This window comes from Homo sapiens, chromosome 20, assembly GCF_000001405.40.
Source record: "Homo sapiens chromosome 20, GRCh38.p14 Primary Assembly".
NCBI classification, from domain to species: domain Eukaryota; kingdom Metazoa; phylum Chordata; class Mammalia; order Primates; family Hominidae; genus Homo; species Homo sapiens.
Window position 1 is genome coordinate 56504439 of NC_000020.11, and position 19825 is coordinate 56524263.

The 19825-nt window shown below is 46.6% G+C and overlaps 1 protein-coding gene and 1 pseudogene across 7 annotated transcripts in view, besides 2 other annotated features; one reads left to right on the forward strand and one right to left on the reverse strand.

The window, feature by feature from the left end:
* RTF2 (replication termination factor 2) overlaps positions 1 to 15011 on the forward strand; it is a 50823-nt gene extending 35812 nt beyond the window's left edge. For 4 of the 6 annotated variants that reach the window (NM_001283035.2, NM_016407.5, XM_017027872.2 and 1 more), the window contains 4 exons: positions 8877 to 8990; positions 12497 to 12551; positions 12668 to 12763; positions 13649 to 15011. In NM_001283035.2, coding sequence (NP_001269964.1) covers positions 8877 to 8990; positions 12497 to 12551; positions 12668 to 12763; positions 13649 to 13827 — 444 coding nt within the window. In that variant the 3' untranslated portion in view covers positions 13828 to 15011. The remainder of the gene's footprint in view (positions 1 to 8876; positions 8991 to 12496; positions 12552 to 12667; positions 12764 to 13648) is intronic. The other 2 variants (NM_001283036.2, NM_001283037.2) reach the window with 2 other exon arrangements.
* GCNT7 (glucosaminyl (N-acetyl) transferase family member 7) overlaps positions 1 to 19825 on the reverse strand; it is a 34434-nt pseudogene that overhangs the window by 12947 nt on the left and 1662 nt on the right. Inside the window, exons 2-3 of the transcript NR_160308.1 lie at positions 9647 to 9867; positions 9358 to 9399 (exon numbers count right to left, since the gene is read on the reverse strand). The product of NR_160308.1 is annotated as a glucosaminyl (N-acetyl) transferase family member 7, transcript variant 1, non-coding (transcript). The remainder of the gene's footprint in view (positions 1 to 9357; positions 9400 to 9646; positions 9868 to 19825) is intronic.
* Positions 7015 to 7823: an enhancer, noted in NCBI's record as "H3K4me1 hESC enhancer chr20:55086509-55087317 (GRCh37/hg19 assembly coordinates)". NCBI's record gives its function as "activates a minimal SCP1, AML or CMV promoter by ChIP-STARR-seq in primed H9 embryonic stem cells {active_cell/tissue: H9 hESC(primed)}" and the evidence as "EXISTENCE:reporter gene assay evidence [ECO:0000049][PMID:30033119]".
* Positions 7824 to 8631: an enhancer, noted in NCBI's record as "H3K4me1 hESC enhancer chr20:55087318-55088125 (GRCh37/hg19 assembly coordinates)". NCBI's record gives its function as "activates a minimal SCP1, AML or CMV promoter by ChIP-STARR-seq in primed H9 embryonic stem cells {active_cell/tissue: H9 hESC(primed)}" and the evidence as "EXISTENCE:reporter gene assay evidence [ECO:0000049][PMID:30033119]".

Below are 19825 nucleotides of genomic sequence, written 5' to 3' on the forward strand. Positions count from 1 at the left end.
GTTATCAGACCCTCTCTCATTAAGGAGATAAATAAAAGTCACTTAAAAATCCTGTTTCTCCATAAATAGCATTCAAAAAAATCCAGACATTTTACAAGGCAGGGGCTGAGCCTTCTCTGTGCTCTGTGTCGCCCCCAAGGGTGAGTCTGCGCCATAGCATGTGGTGAAGGTGGGGTCTGACTGCACCCCTTCGCTAGGCTTTCCTCTTCCCTTCTTTCTCCACCTCTGGGTACTTTTCTTAACATCCTTTCCTTTTCTGGTTTTAAAGGTTCTCTGCTTGCTGGTACTCTCTGCAGGCTTGCCACAGACAGCTCTATTAAGAATATCGGCACCAAGAGACATAGATCACACACCGTAGAGATTTCTTATCTTCTATGTGCCTTGACGCCTAAGCGGGATGTGTGGTCAGATGAATACAGATTCTCTTCACCTGCTCATGGGGTGCCTCTGAGACACATGCTGCTTTTTTGCAGAACAGATGTTGCTGTTGCCAAAGCACAGAGTATTAGAAAAACACTGAGCAGACAGAATGTAGTCCCCATAATCTTCAGGGGTTGTGGCATTCATGTGGCCTTCCAGTGGGGAGACCCCATACATTTTGTTTGTGTGATGTTCAGAGTCCGTGAGTTAAGGTTCTGATTTGATCTAGCAAGAATCAGAAAAGGTTAGGTCCTTTTATGTGTGGGAGAGTCACATTGCCAGCTTGTGAGGTCTTGCTGTGCCTCTCTTCCCCTGCATCTTGAATGCTTGTTTTGAAACATGTCCTTGCTGGGTGCAGTGGCTCATATCTGTAATCCCAGCACTTTGAGAGGCTGAGGTGGGAAGATTGCTTGAGGCTTGGAGTTTGAGACCAGCCTGGAAACATAGCAAGACCCCGTCTCTACAAAAAATTCTTAAAAATTAGCCGGATATGGTGGTGCGCACCTGTAGTCCTAGCTACTTAGGAGGCTAAGGTGGGAGGATTGCTCGAGTCCAGGAATTTGAGGTTACAGTGAGCTAGGATCATGCCACTGCACTGCAGTCTGGGCAACAGAGTGAGATGCCATCTCATAATAATAATAATAATAATAATAATAATATTTGCCCTGTGGGTGCACCTGGACTAGACGGCAGATCTGCTCACACTGGCCCATTCCTGGGGGTCGAGGGTTGGTGCTGGGTTTCACTTCTTGTCTCACATTCTACATCTGGAAGGAGGAAGCCATTCTAAGCCAAATAGCAGTGGAAGAAGCAACTGAGGAAATGCTGGGGAGTGTTGCCCACATTAAACGTTACACTTCCACATTGCTGCGGGAAATGCCAACACAAGAAGCAAACATACTAGACGAGCTGAGCCACCCATTTCTATTGGTAATAAATGGACAAAGGGTAAATCGGCTTTATGTATAAACCTCTTATACAGATTGACTAAAACATTTAAAAAATGAAATCCCTAATAAATAAAAGGACATACGATATAATTTACAAAACAGGTGTCGTGAATACAGTGGGGTTTTTTTATGTTTCTTAATCCAAGCCAAAAAGGAGCTATCTCCCTTGCCATTCAGATTAGCATAAGTTTTCCTTCAAAACATACGACGTGATGGGCACCGTCACGTATGGGGATGTATATTTTCATGCAAGCTTTTGGGAGAACTGCTTGGCTTTAAAATCTCATCTCCTTTTATACTACTTTGAAATATTTCCTTAGGCTCTGTTCTTATTCATTCATTCAGCAGTTATTCACTGTGTCCAATGTGGGCAGAACCCTAGGCTCCTCCCGCCATGGAACATGAAGACAAAATGCTTCCTGCTTGGGGCTAACAGTGTAGTGGAGGAAACACACTGTTTCAAAAGTCAGTACAAACATGCAGACATACACTCATTTACTCTAAGCCATGGGGTACTGCACAGGAAACAAAAACAGGATTCCGTGATAAGAGAATGACCATGTCTCGGAAGTGGAATTCCTAGGTCAGAGATGCATGCAGTCAGCTGTTCATTGCTAATATTATTGTAAGCACAAAGATTGGGAAGCCACTGTTCCATTTGTTAAAGTGATATAAATATCTAGATACATTAGCATATTGCTCCTAATTTGACCACTGTTCCCCTCTTGGCACTTCCCCTACTGGCCTTTTTAAAAATACTTTAAAAAAGCATCCAGAGGGCATATGAATATAAATATACAATTACTAGTTTGCTTTTTCGTTTAACTTATGATAAGCATTTTCTACATTGCCCCAAACTCTAACCATATAATCTTCCTTTTTGGGAATGTATTATAATTTTTTTTTTTGAGAGAGAGAGTCTCGCTCTGTCGCCCAGGCTGGAGTGCAGTGGCACGATCTCGGCTCACTGCAAGCTCCGCCTCCCAGCTTCACGCCATTCTCCTGCCTCAGCCTCCCGATCAGCTGAGACTACAGGCGCCCACCACCATGCCCGACTAATTTTTTGTATTTTTAGTAGAGACGGGGTTTCACCATGTTAGCCAGGATGGTCTCGATCTCTTGACCTCGTGATCCGCCCGCCTCGGCCTTCCAAAGTACTGGGATTACAGGCGTGAGCCACCGCGCCTGGCCGTATTATGATTTTTTTAACCATTTCACCCATTCTTTGGACATCTGAGTTTCAAGCGATAAAAAGGATGAAGATACAGTTTTAAATGGATGTATAATTTCTACCGTACAATAGCAGTACTCAAGAAAAATGCATTAGCAGGAAGATATGGGTGATTTTCTGTTGGTATAATACATATTATTTACTAAAGAGGTGGGGAGCAGGTCCCTGTGGACCAGCTGTGACTTTGCGGCAGCCCCACTCCCCATCTCCGCAGTAGCCCCTACCCTTGTTTTCCCTCATCCTTCAGGGATGAACCACTGCACTCAGGTCTCTCGGGTCAAGCACCTACCCAGAACGAGTGATGGGGCCCCTAGCAGTTGGGAGGACTCTGCCCAGTCTCCAGGGGCAATTCCTACCAAGGTTCAAGCCATTGAGGCCCTTGAGGGTGTGGGTTTGGTGTTAATGGATCTTTTGAATTTTCGAGAGAAAGAGCAAGATTACTCAATTTCTAATGTGAGGGGTTCCTGACTTCTTATTGTCAGTGGCCAATTCAACTTTAAAAGTACAATAAGTCTGGGCACAACACAACACAACTGTATGCAGAATAAGGTCCATGTCCTCTGAACAGTCTGATCTAGAGGAAGGAGACCGCTTACCCCAACACTGTCGGAAGGAGGGGCAGCAAGGAGTGATAGAAAGAAGCAGCAGCAGAAACCCAGGAGGAGAGAAAAAGAAAGGTGGGGGCAGCACCCACAGGGAGCAGACGCTGGGTTCCTCCCCACCCCTGGGCCCTTTACGTCATAGCCACAGCTCCAGGCCCCACTGGGCCTTAACTACCACCTGGTTCTGTTCCTGCAGATTCTTTTTCATTCCAAGGAAGAGACCATCTTCCAGAGCCAAGGGAAAGCTCTACTCAGACCTCCCATAGCGTGAGACTTCCCAGGGAACCTCCTCTAGCAGAGCAGGCTGTCCCTCCTCCTGTAGGCCCAGCTCTCTACAGTGATGGCTAAAAACAAGCTCCTTTTCTTCAAGGGTTGTACCAGTTAAATGCTAGATTGGGCACGTGCTTCAGTCATTCATATAACTTCTCTATGGCACCACCCTCAGGGATTTGTGGGTCAAAAAGGTATCTTCAGTCACGAAAATTTACCAGACCCACCCTAGAAAAAAAGCTGATCTTAACCTGAAAATCACTGTTGGAGACAAGAACCACATTAAATAACCCAGCTAAGGCAGGGGCTGAGGAGAGTCAGCAAATGCTTGTTGGTATCTTCTGTGCATTTGGGAGATTCTGGAAAATCTTTGGCAACTTCAGGAAAAAAAAAGTACTTTTATGGCTTTTCTTGTGCTGATAATGTTTTCTACAAAAGAGATTCCGGGCATAGTATGTCTGTTATTGCTCTGGGCACAGTAGGTCTGTTAAAATTACTGTTCCAGTTGTTGAAAGAATTTTGTTATTATTTGGTTGCCTGCCTTTATGTTTTTCAAAGGCAGTGTCTTATGGAGTAACTAAATATTTTAGTTAATAACAGACCTTATCTGGCATACTTTTAAACATCTATGACTATAACATTTAATAGAGTTTTTCATAGATATTAGAAAGATAAATTTTGGTTGATCCACTCAATATGTGACTCTTTGAAGTCATGTTACCTACACTAATCAAGATAGTGTGGTGCTGGCATGAGAACGGGCATATACATCAATGGAATAAAATAGGGAGTCCGGAAATAAACCCTCACATGTATGGTCATTGATTTTTGACAAAAGGGCCAAGTCAATTCGATGGGGGAAAGAATAGTTTTTTCAACAAATAGTGTGGGGTAACTGGATATCCACATGCAGAAGAATGAATTTGGACCCTTACCTTACATTGAATGTAAAAATAAACTCAAAGTGATCACAGACCTAAATCTGTAAGTTTTAGTTACAAACCACTTAGGAGAAACGCAGGAGTAAATCACAATCTTGGGTTAGGCGATGACTTACTAAATATGACACCAAAAACGTAGCAGTAAGAGAGAAAATTGCTAAGTCCAATTTCATCAAAATAAAAAACTTTTGTAATTATCCAGTGTAAGATATTTTGTCATAACAGTCTTGGACTAAGACAGAACTTATATCCAGAATATGCTGTATAAAGACCTCTTAGAACGCAACATCAAAGAGACAAATAATACAATTAAGAAATGGACCAGGGATTTAAGCAGACATTTCTCCAGAGAAGGTATACAGATGGTCAGTTAGCACGTGAAAAGATGCTTAACATCTCTGGTCATTTGGGAAATGCAAATTAAAACCACAATGAGACAGCACTTCACTCCCATTAGGATGGTTATAACTAAAAGGAAAAATGGGCTGGTTGCAGTGGCTCACACCTGTAATCCCAGCACTTTGGGAGGCAGGTGGATCACCTGAGGTCGGGAGTTCAAGACCAGCCTGGCCAACATGGTTGAAATGCCATCTCTACTAAAAATACAAAAATTAGCTGGGCATGATGGCGGGGGCCTGTAATCCCAGCTACCCAGGAGGCTGAAGCAGGAGAATCGCTTGAACCCAGGAGGTGGAGGTTGCAGTGAGCCGAGATCATGCCACTGGACTGCAGCCTGGCGACAAAGCGAGATCCCATCTCAAAAAAAAAAAAAAAAGAAAAACGATGACAGGTGTTGGGAAGGATGTGGAGAAATGAGAATCCTCAGGCATTGCTGGTGGCAATGTAAAATGGTGCAGCCTCTTTGGAAGTTCATCATTTGAGGAGAGGCAGTTCCTCCAAAGGTTAAACATAAAGTTAACTTATGGCCAGTCATCCCAATCCTAGGTATCTACCCAACAGAAATGAAAACAACTGTCCACAAAAGACTTCCATGTGAATTTCTTAGTCTGAAAGTGGAAACAACTCTGTCAGCTGATTCATAGATGAAACTTTATTTGGCAATAAGAAGAAATGTAGTTCTGATCCATACTATAACATGGATAAATCTTTAAAACATTATGCTAAAATCCAGTCACAAAAAAAAAAAACATGTATATTGTATGATTTCATTTATAGAAATGTCCAGAAGAGGCAAATTTGTAGGATGGAAAGTAGATTAATGGTTGCCTAAGACTGAGGAAAGGGGAATGGAGTGAGTGCCAGTGGGTATGGGATTTCTGTTGGAAGTGATAAAAATATGCTAAAATTAGATTATGGTGATGGTTGCACAACTCTAAATATACTAAAAGCCATTGAACTCTATACTTCATTATGTTATGTAAATGAGATTTCAGAAAACCTGTTTTTTAAAAAGGCGAGTTAGGTAGCAAATGCACGTGGTGCTGAAGCTGTTCCTTTTAGAGCCGGCTCTTAGCATTCTGTGTCCTGAGCATTGTGCTGTGAGCTAAGAGATAGAACATGATTTCTGCTTCCCCCACCCCTAAAAAAAGGTTTGGGAGATCAGAAGATGTAAAACAGAAACCCAGAATGCTCTTCTAAGAGTTAGCTACAGAGTAAATAAAAGTTTGAAGAGACTTCCTCAGGCAGGGGAAGACAGAAGTTTCATAGACAAGATGATAATAGTAAGCTCACTGCTCCATTTTTTATTTTTAAAAACTTGCCACCCAACTCATAGGGGGCAGAGACTATGTCTTAACACAGGGCCTACCAGCTTCAGGGTAAAATCAATGAAATCTTTAAACTGAGGCTAGGCATGGTGGCTCACGCCTGTAATCCCAACACTTTGGGAGGTTGAGGCGGGTGGATTACCTGAGCCCAGAAGTTCAAGACCAGCCTGAACAACATGGCAAAACCCTGTCTCTACAAAAAATACAAAAATTAGCCAGGCATGGTGGCGCACACCTATAGCCCTAGCTACTCAGGAGGATGAGGTAGGAGGATGAGGTGGGAGGATGGCTTGAGCCTGGGAGGTGGAGGCTGCACTGAGCCATGATGGCACCACTGCACTCCAGCCTGGGTGACTGAGTGAGACCCTGTCTCAAAGAAAAAAAGTTTACATGACTATGAGTATGTTCCATAAATGAATCCTTTGAATGTTATATATGCTATGAATATTTCACTTAGCCTTTGGCTTATTGTTTTTTGTTGTTGTTGTGACATTGTCATGTAAAAGTTTGTAATTTTTACATGGTAAAACTTATTTTTTTAAAATAAGTTTTTAAAGTTTAAATAAAAATTATTTAAAATAAGTTTTAAAGCTTTAGATCACAGGTCCCCAACCCCCATACCGGTGACAGTCCGTGGCCTCTTAGGAACCGGGCCACACAGCAGGAGGTGAGCCACAGGCGAGAGAACATTAGTGCCAGAGCTCCATCAGCGGCATTAGATTCTCTTAGGAGCACAAACCCTGTTGTGAACTGCGCACGTGAGGGATCTAGGTTGCGTGCTGCTTATGAGACTCTAATGCCTGATGATCTGAGGTGGAACAGTTTCATCCCAAAACCTTCCCCCAACCATCTATGGAAAGATTGTCTTCCATGAGACTGGCCCCAGGTGCAAAAAAGGTTGGGAACTACTGTTTTAGATGACATTTCCTACCCTAGTTATAAAACACATTTTCCTATAAATTATTCTTCTTTCCTTTTTTACATTTAGGTGTTTATAACCCTAGTCCAGGGCTTCTCAACCTCAGCACAGGGGCATCTTGGCTGGGTAACTCTCTGTGGGGGGGCCATCCTGTGTACTGTATGATGCTTGCTGCATCCCTGGCCTCTACCCACAAGATGCCAATAGCACCTGCACCCCAGATGTGACAGCTAAAAATGTCTCCAGACATCGCCGAATGTCCACTAGGGAGCAGGATCAACCACTGCACTTGCGTTAGACCCCAAGTGGTTAGAGAGCCACTGCACTTGGGTTAGACCCCTCTTTTTTTTTTGAGACGGAGTCTCGCTCTGTCGCCCAGGCTGGAGTGCAGTGGCACGATCTCGGCTCACCATAACCCCTGCCTCTCGGGTTCAAGCGATTCTCTCACCTCAGCCTCCCGAGTAGCTGGGACTACAGGCATGTACCACCACACCCAGCACCACCATACACAGTTTTTGTATTTTTAGCAGAGACGGGGTTTCACCATATTGGTCAGGCTGGTCTCGAACTCCTGACCTCAAATGGTGATCCGCCCACCTCGACCTCCCAAAGTGCTGGGATCATAGGCATAAGCCACCGCGCCCAGTCTTAGACCCCTCATTTTTGCAGCTGAGGAAACTGAGGCCCAGAGAAGTGGTGTGGCCTGAGCCAGGTGGCCTAGACAGATGGTGGCAGAAATCTCAATTCAAAATGCAGGACTGGGAACCTCCACTCCTCGTTCTCTTTTTTTCCCTGTTTTTCCTGTCCCCAGCCGTGAGCACCTCTGCTGTGCTAGGCACTGGGTAGCTGCTGGGGCCACAGCAGGGAAGAAAACAACATAGACAAAGTGATGAAGACAAGACTCCAGGTCATGATTAGTGCCATGGAGCCAACACAGAAAGAGTGCTGGGATCCCACCAGTGACAGCATGGTCACAGGGAGCCTCTGCAGAGGTGGCTCACTCACTGACAGCTCTGTGAGTGTGGGCATGCCTTTGGTGTGTATGTGTGCGTTTCTACCACCACAACACTGTCAGGATGGTCTAGACCCTGCTCGCAGTCTTGTTCTGCCGGGGTGTGTTGGGCGCCCCCAAGGCTGCCGTCATGCTTGGGGGTTTTCTGAAAGACTTGAGACTTAGCATATGGTTGTATTCAACTAACATTCACTGCAGCAGCGTGGTATGGATGCACAGCTGGGTGTTAAGGGAAAAGGCGCATGTAGCAGAGTCTGGAGGAATCCACGTGGGGCTTCCTTACGCGCACTCCCTCCCTCAAGGGGTTGTACGAAGTGAATACTTCCCCCCGCAACGAAACTGCAACACGTGTGATGTTTTTGCCCAGGGAAGCAAATGAGAGACTCAGTACCCAGAGTTTTGGCTGAGGGCTGGCTTTATACCCTCGGCCCAGCATGTTCCAGAATTCCACACTCCCATAAGCAGGTAGGTGTCAGCATAGACCACGTTGTTCATACAAAAGGGTCTAGGCACGGTGAGCCAAGCTACTCTTGTCAGTTAAAAAATGGCGGGAACCCTCCCAAAATCCAAGTTCCCAGACACCATCCAGGCACCAGCCTTGCAAGTGATAGCACTCTTAACCTGCTACGCTGACACTTTGCTGTGTGCGGGAACTTTCCAAACCAAGGCTTTGACCAGAAAGCCGGTAATAGGAATTTACTCGGAGCCTGGGGGCCACTGCTTGGGGCTGAGAGTGGGGGACTGAAGCGTGGCCTCCCCATTGACTGGTGATGGAATCTGCCCTCTCTTGTTTGCCCTCTCCAGTGTGGGGCTGCCTTCCAGGAGGATGATGTCATCATGCTCAATGGCACCAAGGAGGATGTGGACGTGCTGAAGACAAGGATGGAGGAGAGAAGGCTGAGAGCGAAGCTGGAAAAGGTAATGGGAGTCTTCAGGTTCCGCCCAGCCCCCATCTCTGCTCCAGAGCCGACTGCAAATCACTGAACTGAGCTGGCAGCTGCTTAGGGGTTTGCATGATCAAGGCGATTTTTATAACCTAGAAGGGCCTGGACTGTAGAAGCAGATTCCAGCTGAGGCCCAGGCACTGCCTTGCTGTGGTGAGCACGGCGGCTCTGCTCTTCCCCGCCGAGCTTTCTCATCAGTGAAGTGGGGTAGTGACAGCATGCGAGGGCACGGAGCTGTCAGCAGGCTCCAGAGACCATGGCCATAAAGCACTGACACTGACACGGCCTCAGCAAGCCCTTGGGGAAGGGCAGCCACCACCGTTGCTGCTGCTGTCACTTACTGTTGCTGTTGATTTAAGGCAGTACATACTCAGGTCTCATAGCTTGTAAAACAAAGGAAAAATGAAAAGTCACCATCATCCCAGCAAAATGTAAGGCTCCCCTGCTGCCCAGATTGGAATGTGCTCGGGAGGGCCCTGGCAGTCTGGGCTCCAGCAGGCCTGGGTGGGCCTGGGTGCCTGTGCGTCTCACCCACTCCCAGGGCGTGTGGATGCAACTCCTCAGGGTCACACTTTGAATAACAAGGAGCTAATGAGTAGCCTTCCCAAAAATGGGGGCCAAATCCCTCACCTTCCTGAGCCCTCCCACGGGGAGAGGGAGGGTCTTTTATGGAGCGTGGTGCTTCATGCTTCATCGTTCAGAAGGGAGCGTGGTATCCAGAAACAGGGAAAGCATTGCTGAGTAACGTGGCGGAGTGAGCAGGCTCCAGACAACGCATCCACCAAGAGTTCTTCCATGCGCTGGTGATTCCCCATCCAGCAGTAAATGTTGTTCATGTTTACAGATGATAGCTATGGAATACAGGCCTTTCGTGAGTGGCAAATTTCTTATTCTTTAAAAAAAAAAAAAGTTGGGTTCAGGATAAGCTAGGGAGAAAACTTTATGTGATCAGAACTAAGGCAAAAGAATGCTTGAAGTACTAGAAAATTAGCTCCAGTAGGCTGAGGACATAAAATTATGAAACAAATCGCCTGCCCTCGCGTGGGTGTGCATTTTACCAGTGCCAGTCCGAGGCGAGAGTGATGGAGTACCTGAAGATTTTTCAGAGGTTTGGGGTTTTTAAAAAATCATAACAAGACAGGACCGTATCACCCTGGAATAATGTGTAATTCGTGGTTGTGAGGCTTTAAAAAGCCGAGGCTTGAGCACATGGTAGCAGTATTACCATTATGCATGGATCCAGAATGATCAGAAAGAGCCAAAGGCATTTGTATTTTCTCCCTTCATCGTTTTACTTAGGTAGAAAATAATGTCTGAAAATGGCTCTGTAGTTCAAGGAACGGTGCCCAAACTCTGAATTCAGATGCGAGTAGAAATACTCCGTGGAGCAATATTATAAGATGTTAATACAACATTCCTAACAACTGTTTAAAGAGTCACTTGGTAGGCGGGCGTGGTGGCGTGTGCCTGTAATGCCAGCTACTGGGGAGACTGAGGCAGGGGAATCACTTGAACCCGGAAGGCGGAGGTTGCAGTGAGCCGAGATCGCACCTCTGCACTCCAGCCTGACAGACTCCCTCTAAAAAAAAAAAAAAAGCCGCTTGGCCATTGAAATGCTGTGTTCAGGTTGAAAAGTAAATACATGTGTATCTTATATAAAGTGTGTTAATTCTAAGTTGGTTTTCTAAATTACTATGATTTCATTATTGTAAGAGAGAAAAAAAGAGGGAAACTAAGTTTGAGGTCTTTTTAACTAAGGACAGTTGCCAAAAGCCATCTCCCTGTTCTTAATTGCTACCATTGATCAAGCTCAGTTTTAAAAAACACAAAAGGGCAGCCGGGTGCCGTGGCTCACACCTTTCATCCCAGCACTTTGGGAGGCCGAGGCAAGCAGATCACTTGAGGTCAGGAGTTCGAGACCAGCCTGGCCAACATGGTGAAACCCCATCTCTACTAAAAATACAAAAATTAGCTGGATGTGGTGGCGTGCGCCAGTAATCCCATGTACTCCAGAGGCTGAGGCGGAAGAATTGGTTGAACTTGGGAGGCGGAGGTTGCAGTGAGCCAAGATCGTACCACTGCACTTCAGCCTGGGCAACAGAGTGAGATTCTGTCTCAGACAGAGAGAGAGAGAGAGAGAGAGAGACACACACACACACACACACACACACACACACACACACACACAGTGAGATTCTGTCTCAGACAGAGACACACACACACACACACACACACACACGGAAAAAATGCATTTCAAAGGAAACTACTAGAAATGTTCATATTCCCTTTGACCATTTTGCTTTCGTGAGTTTTCTCTGTCACAGGTTTCCTGCCAAGTTAATTCAAAGCCCAGTGGGACTAACATGCTCCTCTCTGCAAAATATTCTCCAGAGCTTCTGGGAATACCTCATAGCTACTGCTACCAGGATACCAAAATATTTCCCAAATACACTTGCAGCTGGAAGCAAGATATAACATTTCCTCTCTAACTCCTTCTTGCCTGTGCTTTTCAAATAACCTCAGCTGTGAATGGAGGGCTTAGAAGTAAACAGTTGTCTCTTATTTGTTTGAAGGACCGAGTATCAGTTTTCACAGATGTGAATGCTTGCATTGCATGTGTGAAATGCACAGAAGGTCTTTATGTTCTGTTATAAATCACACTGCATGTATATGTTAGAAATTCAAGGCCTGAGAGGTCTTTCTTTAATGCTCAGTGCTGGGAGATGGCTGAAGTAATCAGGCTGCCTATTTTTAGTGCCACCTTTTGGATGCTTAGGAAATTGACATTTTAAAGTAAATTAAATGAACATAGTCCTACTTGTCATTTCTGCGATTAAATCAATTCCAACGCAGCTGTGTGACCGTAGAATGGTTTGTTTTATTATTGCTGATCAAAATAACTATTATGAGTAGCAGAATTCTAGTGCCTGGAAATCTAACAAGAGTAGTTTTGAGTTTAGAAGAATTAGCTCAACTGTCTTTAATATAAACTTCAAGGCCTTACACTTGAATAACAAATACCAAAGCAGTTTGACAGCTTTGAAAAAAAGTTAGTGGAATGTGCAAGATTTAGTTGGTGTTTATGCTGGCTGGACTTCACATACCCATATATACTCTGTGTTACTCATTTAAGTGCGCTTTTGTATACAGTTGTCACCATCAACATTGGCCCTTATTACTGAAATCTGTCAGCCTCATTTAAATTTTTGCAAATGTGATTTGGGAGATGTAAATATAAAAGTGAGCAGCTCTGTGCAGATACATTTTTGTGTGAGGCAGAAGTGCATGACTGGTGTCACATGCAGAGGGTGAAGGCTTTAGGAGTTACGGAACATCAAAAGCCTTCTTCAGAGTGACTGTCTGTCTCATGTGACTAGCATCGGTCAGTCAGACAGGGCACCCGGGACAATGGGCAGCCACACTGACGCTGAAGTGGAGTGAATCTGAGCACAGCCTCCAACATTCTCTATCTTTTTGTAGAAAACAAAGAAACCCAAGGCAGCAGAGTCTGTTTCAAAACCAGATGTCAGTGAAGGTAAGATCCTTCAAGAGATCCTTATTTTAGCAAAATGCGACTCTAGGGCAGTCTGCTAATATGTTCATGCTTTGTTTTGCATTGTTTTTGCTTTGCCTACTTTGTTTCTTTTACAGAAGCCCCAGGGCCATCAAAAGTTAAGACAGGGAAGCCTGAAGAAGCCAGCCTTGATTCTAGAGAGAAGAAAACCAACTTGGCTCCCAAAAGCACAGGTGGGTCCTGTTGTAGCTACAGGGAGCTGTTTCGAGAAGGCTGGAAACCCAGGTGGCCGAGTCCAGGTTTCACTGGAGTGGGTGGATGGGAAGCCCAAGCCTGTCCTATGTCATGTCTCTAGAGAGTGCACTGAACTCTCTTTAGGGGGGTAACTAAGAAATATTGAACACACCCTCATCAGGAGCCGTGGCAGGAGTGATGGGGTCTGGGCACAAATGCTGGTTGTTTAGATTCCTGTCGAGTAAGTGCTTGGTGCCAAGCAAAAGAGGTTGCGCTGAGAACTGGCTCAGATGTTGCACAGAGACTGTCAGATGGACTGTGGCTCAGGGCCTGCGGGGAATGCCCCCAGTTTCTTTACTCTTGGGGCTTTCATGGGCTCCACGTGTGGCTCTCAGAGTCCCCTCTCTGCTGCCTCTTGACCAAGGATCAGTTTCTCCTAAAACTCACTCTCTGTAACTCAAAGAAAATACCATTTATTTCACAAAAAGAAAAATACAGATTCATTGTTAAGAGTGTGTGATCTTGTGCTCTAAGTAGCATCCAGGGTGGCTGACAGGCTCCCATCCCGGCTCTACATGGGACAGCCACTCAGGTTCCTGTGCCCATTTCCTCCCCTGGAACGCAGGCCCTGCCTCATCAGGACAATCTAAGTCATTCACGGGGCTGGGACCAGTGTCTGCGACAGAGCAAGACAGTAAATGATAGATGTGTTGTGCTGTGTCTGCTTTGCTGGAGTTGGCAATTAAGATGACGTCCGCCAGCACTCACACAGCCAGCAAGAGAACGTCTGGGACAGAGTGACTGATGGGCTTCCCTTCTGAGGATGCGAAGTTTAGAATCATCTTTATCCCAACCCTGACAGTTTTGGCTCTTCATTTTTCTAGCAATGAATGAGAGCTCTTCTGGAAAAGCTGGGAAGCCTCCGTGTGGAGCCACAAAGAGGTCCATCGCTGACAGTGAAGAATCGGAGGCCTACAAGTCCCTCTTTACCACTCACAGCTCCGCCAAGCGCTCCAAGGAGGAGTCTGCCCACTGGGTCACCCACACGTCCTACTGCTTCTGAAGCCCGCACTGCCACCGCTCCTGCCCCAGAAGGTTGTTTAGTTTCCACGTAGGCAGGTCGCTTTGTGCCTCTGAGTGCGCTGCTGTGTGTTCTCTCTATAGTTCTGTGTCATAAAGCTGTCCTGGCCAGCCTTCAAGCTGGTGTGGCCACTCTTGATGTGAGGCGTGTCGGTTCCAGGGGGGACATGGGAGGGGCTGCACAGTGGCCCGAGGTCATGCTTGCTTCCACCTGCAGGTGCATTTGGTCCTTTCCATGGCCAGGAAGCCCTGTGGGCTGCACTTTTTATGCTTGCAGTAACAAGAGACTCCAGAGTCCTCACCGGTGCAGAGTTGGCACATATTAATTAACTAAAATTCTAATGATCTTGCTACCAGCAATAAATCAAGTAGGCCAAGTGAAACTGGGCTTTAAAAAGGATGGATTTCAAATACACTGTGCCCACTAGAAGCTTCGAAGGGCCTCGTCCCTCTGCTACAGCCCTGGGAGGAGCCAGGATCCTTGTTGGTCTAGCTAAATACTGTTAGGGGAGTGTGCCCCATCTCATCATTTCGAAGATAGCAGAGTCATAGTTGGGCACCCAGTGATTGGGTTCAAAAATAAAGCTGGTCTGCCTCTTCTCTCCTCTGTGTTTTTATCTTTTCTACCTTCTGCTCATGCTTGGGTAAGAACATTGCAGCCGTTGCATTGGTGATTACAGGAGTCATTCCATGAAGTCAGAAGAACCCACCCTTCTCTCCTCCAGCAGATGGTAAAGGGAGAATCGTACCCAAAAAGAGGTGCATTTTATCTGCCTATAAGTTGTGTTGACGTCAATAGCTAGTGAAACTTCTCATGAGACTCCTAATGAAGAACCAAGAGCCACAGGCCTCTGCGTGGCTTTCTGCACACGGTGGTATGACTGAGATAGTGACTGGTTCTCTATACAGACCCCGGGGCCCTGGGTTTCCTTCAGAAGCAGAAGGAGCTGTGGGAGGTGAATGGTGGGAGGTGAACAGGCAGGTTCTGTGGGAGACACAGACACGTGGGCAGAACTCCAGGGAGAGGCCAGCAAGGGAGAACCATGTGTGGCCCTGCTTTTTCTCAAACCCTGTGTGGTTCCCGGCTTCACAGTTGATGGGAAGGTTTGGCCCCAAGGATATTTTGACATTGTGAGTATAGAGCATTTTAATAAAAATTAAGTGATGCGTTTTTGTCATGGACTTTTCCAGAACAAACCTGGATTAGCCATTTAATTTCCCCAATTTTCTATACAGCCAAACTCAACCATTTTCTCATTGTTTTTATTTCCCCCTTTTTTTTTTTTTTTTTTTTTAAATTTTGAAACAGGGTCTCACTCTGTCATCCAGGCTGGAGTGCAGTGGCATGATCATGGCTCACCATAGCCTTGACCTCCTGGGCTCAGGTGATCCACCCCCCTCAGCCTCCCGAGTAGCTGGGATTATAGGTGCGCACTACCGCACCCGGCTAATTTTGCTATTTTTTGTAGAGATGAGGTTTCGCCATGTTGCACAGGCTGGTCTTAAACTTCTGGGACCAAGCAATCTGCCCGCCTCGGCCTTCCAAAGTGCTGGGATTACAGGCGTGAGCCACGCTGCCTGGGCCCCCTTTTCTTTTAATGACCATTATTTTTACCAGGTTCGGTTTTCTGAATGTTAGCCTGAATCAGTTTTATTTTGCATTGAATGTATTGACTGTGTCCAGTTTTTTCTGGTAACTGAGTCACAGCATCCTCAACACAAAAATTACAGCATCTCAAAGTCCTCTGCTTTGGGCCTCTCTGAAATAAACAGGCTGTGGGCCTCCCTCCAGCTGCCCTCAGGACCATCCATGCAGGAGGGATCAGGGTTTCCTTGGAGATTTCTAGCCAGCCTTTAATATTTTGCTAAGGCACCACTCTTCAAGGCTCCTGGCCAGCTTGAGGGAAGAAGGTATCCATGATCTGTGCTCCTGCTGGGCATGAGGCCTCAATACACCAACGGCTGGGGAGGGCTGATCATTCGCATTATTTTTAGGGCTCACTGAGCAGCCAAGCACTTGACAGGCTTCTTCCCCTGGGACTCCCCAGCCACCCAGTGCAATGGGAAGATGGCCATCCCCCACTTTATAGGTGAGGTGCCTGAGGCCCAAAGCAGCAAGGCGAATGACAGTTCTGCCTGGCCACACCGCACCTTCTCCCCATTCAGTCCGTACCAAATGAAGGAATCAGTGGCGGCTGGGGCAGGCTCCCACCCAGGCGCCGAGACCACGGGTTCAGGTGCTGTGCCCAAGAGGAAAGTGGGGCATCTCCTAGCTCTCCCTCCTCCTCCGTCCACCTCCAGGACCCAAGCTGCTTTCCACCAAGGAGGGAGCTGGGAGGAGAAAATTGAAAAGATGTTGAAATTCTCCAAAATAGCATCTATTCAATTTCCCACAGTATCGGAGGAACCAGCCCCCAATATTTCAATGTAGGTTCTTTTCTCTTTTCCCTAAGCATCGGCCGGTCTGAGAAAGAGTACAAAAGAGAGAAATTTTACAGCTGGGTCTCTGGGGGTGACATCACGTCAGCAGGTTCTGTGTTGCTCCCGAGCCGCAAAACCAGCAAGCTTTTATTAGCAATTTTCAAAGGGGAGGGAGTGTACGAATAGGTTGTGGGTCACAGAGATCACATGCTTCAAAGGCAATAAAATATCACAAGGCAAATGGGGGCAGAGCGAGATCAAAGTCCAGGGCAAAATTAGAATTGCTGATGAGGTTTCATGTCCCACTGTGCACGCATTGTCATTGATAAACATCTTAACAGGAAACAGGGTTCAAGAACAGACAACCGATCTGACTAGAATTTCACCAGGCTGGAATTTCCCAATCCTAGCAAGCCTGGGAGAGCTGCAGGAGACCAGGGCGTATTTCATCCCTTATCTACAACTGCATAAGACAGACACTCCCAGAGCGGCCATTTTAGAGACCTCCCCCTGAGAATGCATTCTTTTCCCAGGGCTGTTCCTTGCTGAGAAAAAGAATTCAGCGATATTTCTCCTATTCGCTTTTGCAAGAAGAGAAATATGACTCTGTTCTGCCCGGCCCCGCAGGCAGTCAGACCTTAAGGTTATCTCCCTTGTTCCCTGAAAATTGCTGTTATCCTGTTCTTCTAGGATGCCCAGATTTCATATTGTTCAAACACGTTTTACAAACAATTTGTACAGATAACGCAATCATCACAGGGTCCTGAGGCGACATACATCCTCAGCTTACGAAGACGACGGAATTAAGAGATTCAAGTAAAGACGGGCATAGGAAATTATAAGAGTATTGATTGGGGAAGGAATAAATGTCCATGAAATCTTCACAATTTATGTTCTTCTGCCGTGGCTTCATCCAGTCCCTCCATTTGGGGTCCCTGACTTCCTGCAACACCACAGCACTTCATTTCCAACAAATGAAATGAAAGCTGTGCCAAAATGAATGAAAGAAGTGCCGCCCCACCCCACAGCCCAGACAAGTTTGGCTCAAAGATCTGGTCTGCTTACCCACTGGTCCTGCTCTATTGGAGAGTGCTGTAGACTTTTGAATACATATAGGAAAAAGTGATTCCCATTATTAAAGACTGAACATTTCCAAATAACAAAATCACATGTGGCAAAACTTGTGAGCATTTCTGTTGTTTGGGGCCATTCCTGTAAACCACGTCTGTTTGCCCCTTACTGCTCCATCGCACCACAGCCACCAAACTTCCCAGCCGACTTAAGACACGGGCTGACTGAGCACTGTGGCTCCTGTCTGCAGTCCCAGCACTTTGGGAGGCTGAGGCAGGAGGACTGCTTGAGCCCAGGAGTTTTGAGACTAGCCTGGGCAACACAGGGAGACCCTGTCTCTACCAAAAATGAAATAAAAATTATCCAGACCCTGTCTCTACCAAAAACAAAACAAAAAAAAAAACAAAAATTATCGAGGCTGCAGTGAGCCAAGATCATTCCACTGCACTCCAGTCTGGATGACACAGCAAGACCCTATCTCAAAGAAAAGACACAGGCTGTGTATGGACATGGGGGCCTCTGAAAATAATTAGCCATCCCTCAAAGCTGCTGGAATGGGGAACACTGGGGACAGGGAGCCGCATGATGCCAAGGACAGGCCTCCAAACTGAGGTCACAGGGTGGCCCAAGGCCCTGGAAATCAGGGCAGCTGCCTCTACAGTGGGTGTAATTCCAGGCAGTAGCTGCCAAGCTGAGTGGGCCCCTGCAAGAAGAGAAGTGCCCGTCTTCTGGTCAACCTGGAGATTTGCATCTCTCCATCGTGCCCAGTCTCTGGCAGGAAGCCCCACTCCCCAGCCGACACTGCACCATGCTCATGGAGGAAGAAGCTGTGCAGCACAGCCCAACAGCGTTTTCCCCTTTCGGTTTTCTAGAGTAGTCTTGCAGAACTATTTTTTGGTTTTTTTTTTTTTGAGAGAGTCTCACTCTGTTGCCCAGGCTGGAGTGCAGTGGCACCACCTCAGCTCACTGCAACCACCGCCTCCTGGATTCAAGCGATTCTCCTGCCTCAGCTCCAGAGTAGCTGAGATTACAGGTGTGCACCAAAACACCTGGCTAATTTGTTTTTATTTTCAGTGGAGACAAGGTTTCACCATGTTGGTCAGGCTGGCCTCAAACTCTTTGACCTCAGGTGATCTGCATGCCTTGGCCTCCCAAAGTGCTGGGATTACAGGCATGAGCCACTGCCCCTGGCCATAGTCTTGCAGAACTACTTTGTCACTCCACAGAGATCAGTAGTTTAAGGCACAGCGAAGGTGCCCAGCTGAACTTTGATTATTTCCTGTGCAGCATAAAGTTCTGCTCCTCGGGAGTAAATCTGCAAATCAGAGCCTTCCTCAGGAAGATAGCTCTACAGATGACCCAGGGGAACAAGTACAAGCCGTGCGTTCCAGCACCCAGGATTTCTTGTTTCATGTCATTTTAAAGAACACATGGTTTCGAGTATACTATGGAGTCCTAGGTTTATTCCCAGCCTTGGCCTCAGTTGTCAAGCTAGCTGTTCCTTTTTACTTGGGGGATTCAGCCCCTTCCCATTTTACCCACCAACTCTTAATCATCTCCCCTGCTCTACTCAACCATCTTTTTCTGGACACTCTTCCTGCTTCCTGCATAACCTAGTTTAGAGCAGTCCCCTTATGCTAGTCTCTAAAGCTTCCTGTTCTTATCACAATTTTAATCAAAGTATACTCTCTCTCTTTTTTTTTTTCTTCCTGAGATGGAGTCTCACTCTGTTGCCCAGGCTAGAGTGCAGTGGTGCGATCTCAGCTCACTGCAACCTCTGCCTCCCAGGTCCAAGTGATTCTCCTGCCTCAGCTTCCCAACTAGCTGGGCCTACAGGCCTATGCCACCATGCCGGGCTAATTTTTGTTTAGTAGACATGGGGTTTCACCATGTTGGCCAGGCTATTCTCCAGCTCCTGACCTCAGGTGACCCACCTGCCTTGGCCTCCCAAAGTGCTGGGACTACAGGTGTGAGCCACCACACCCAGCCCAAAGTATACTCTTAACCCAGGGTGGGCACACACTGCTACGATCAATGATGGTGTGAGGTAATAGTGAGTGGTGGGGACTGTGGAGGGAATATGGCCACCGAAAGGACGGTTTCACTTGGCTGCAGCAGAGAGACTGGTTCCATGAGGGTGTGCACTCATTGTTTCTGGACCTCCCATATTTTCAAAGGAAGCCAGAATGTGGAGTTTTAAAGTGAAATGCCCCCCAATATTTAAGTACTGACAATTTTTAAAAACAATGTAGGCCAAACAAAACACATAGGTGGGCCGGGCGCAGTGGCTCATGCCCGTAATCCCAACACTTTAGGAGGCCGAGGCAGGTGGATCACCTAAGGTCGGAAGTTAGAGACCAGCCTGACCAACATGGAGATACCCTGTCTCTACTAAAAATACAAAATTAGCCAAGCGTGATGGTGGATGCCTGTAATCGCAGCTACTCAGGAGGCTGAGGCAGGAGAATGGCTTGAACTGGGAGGCGGAG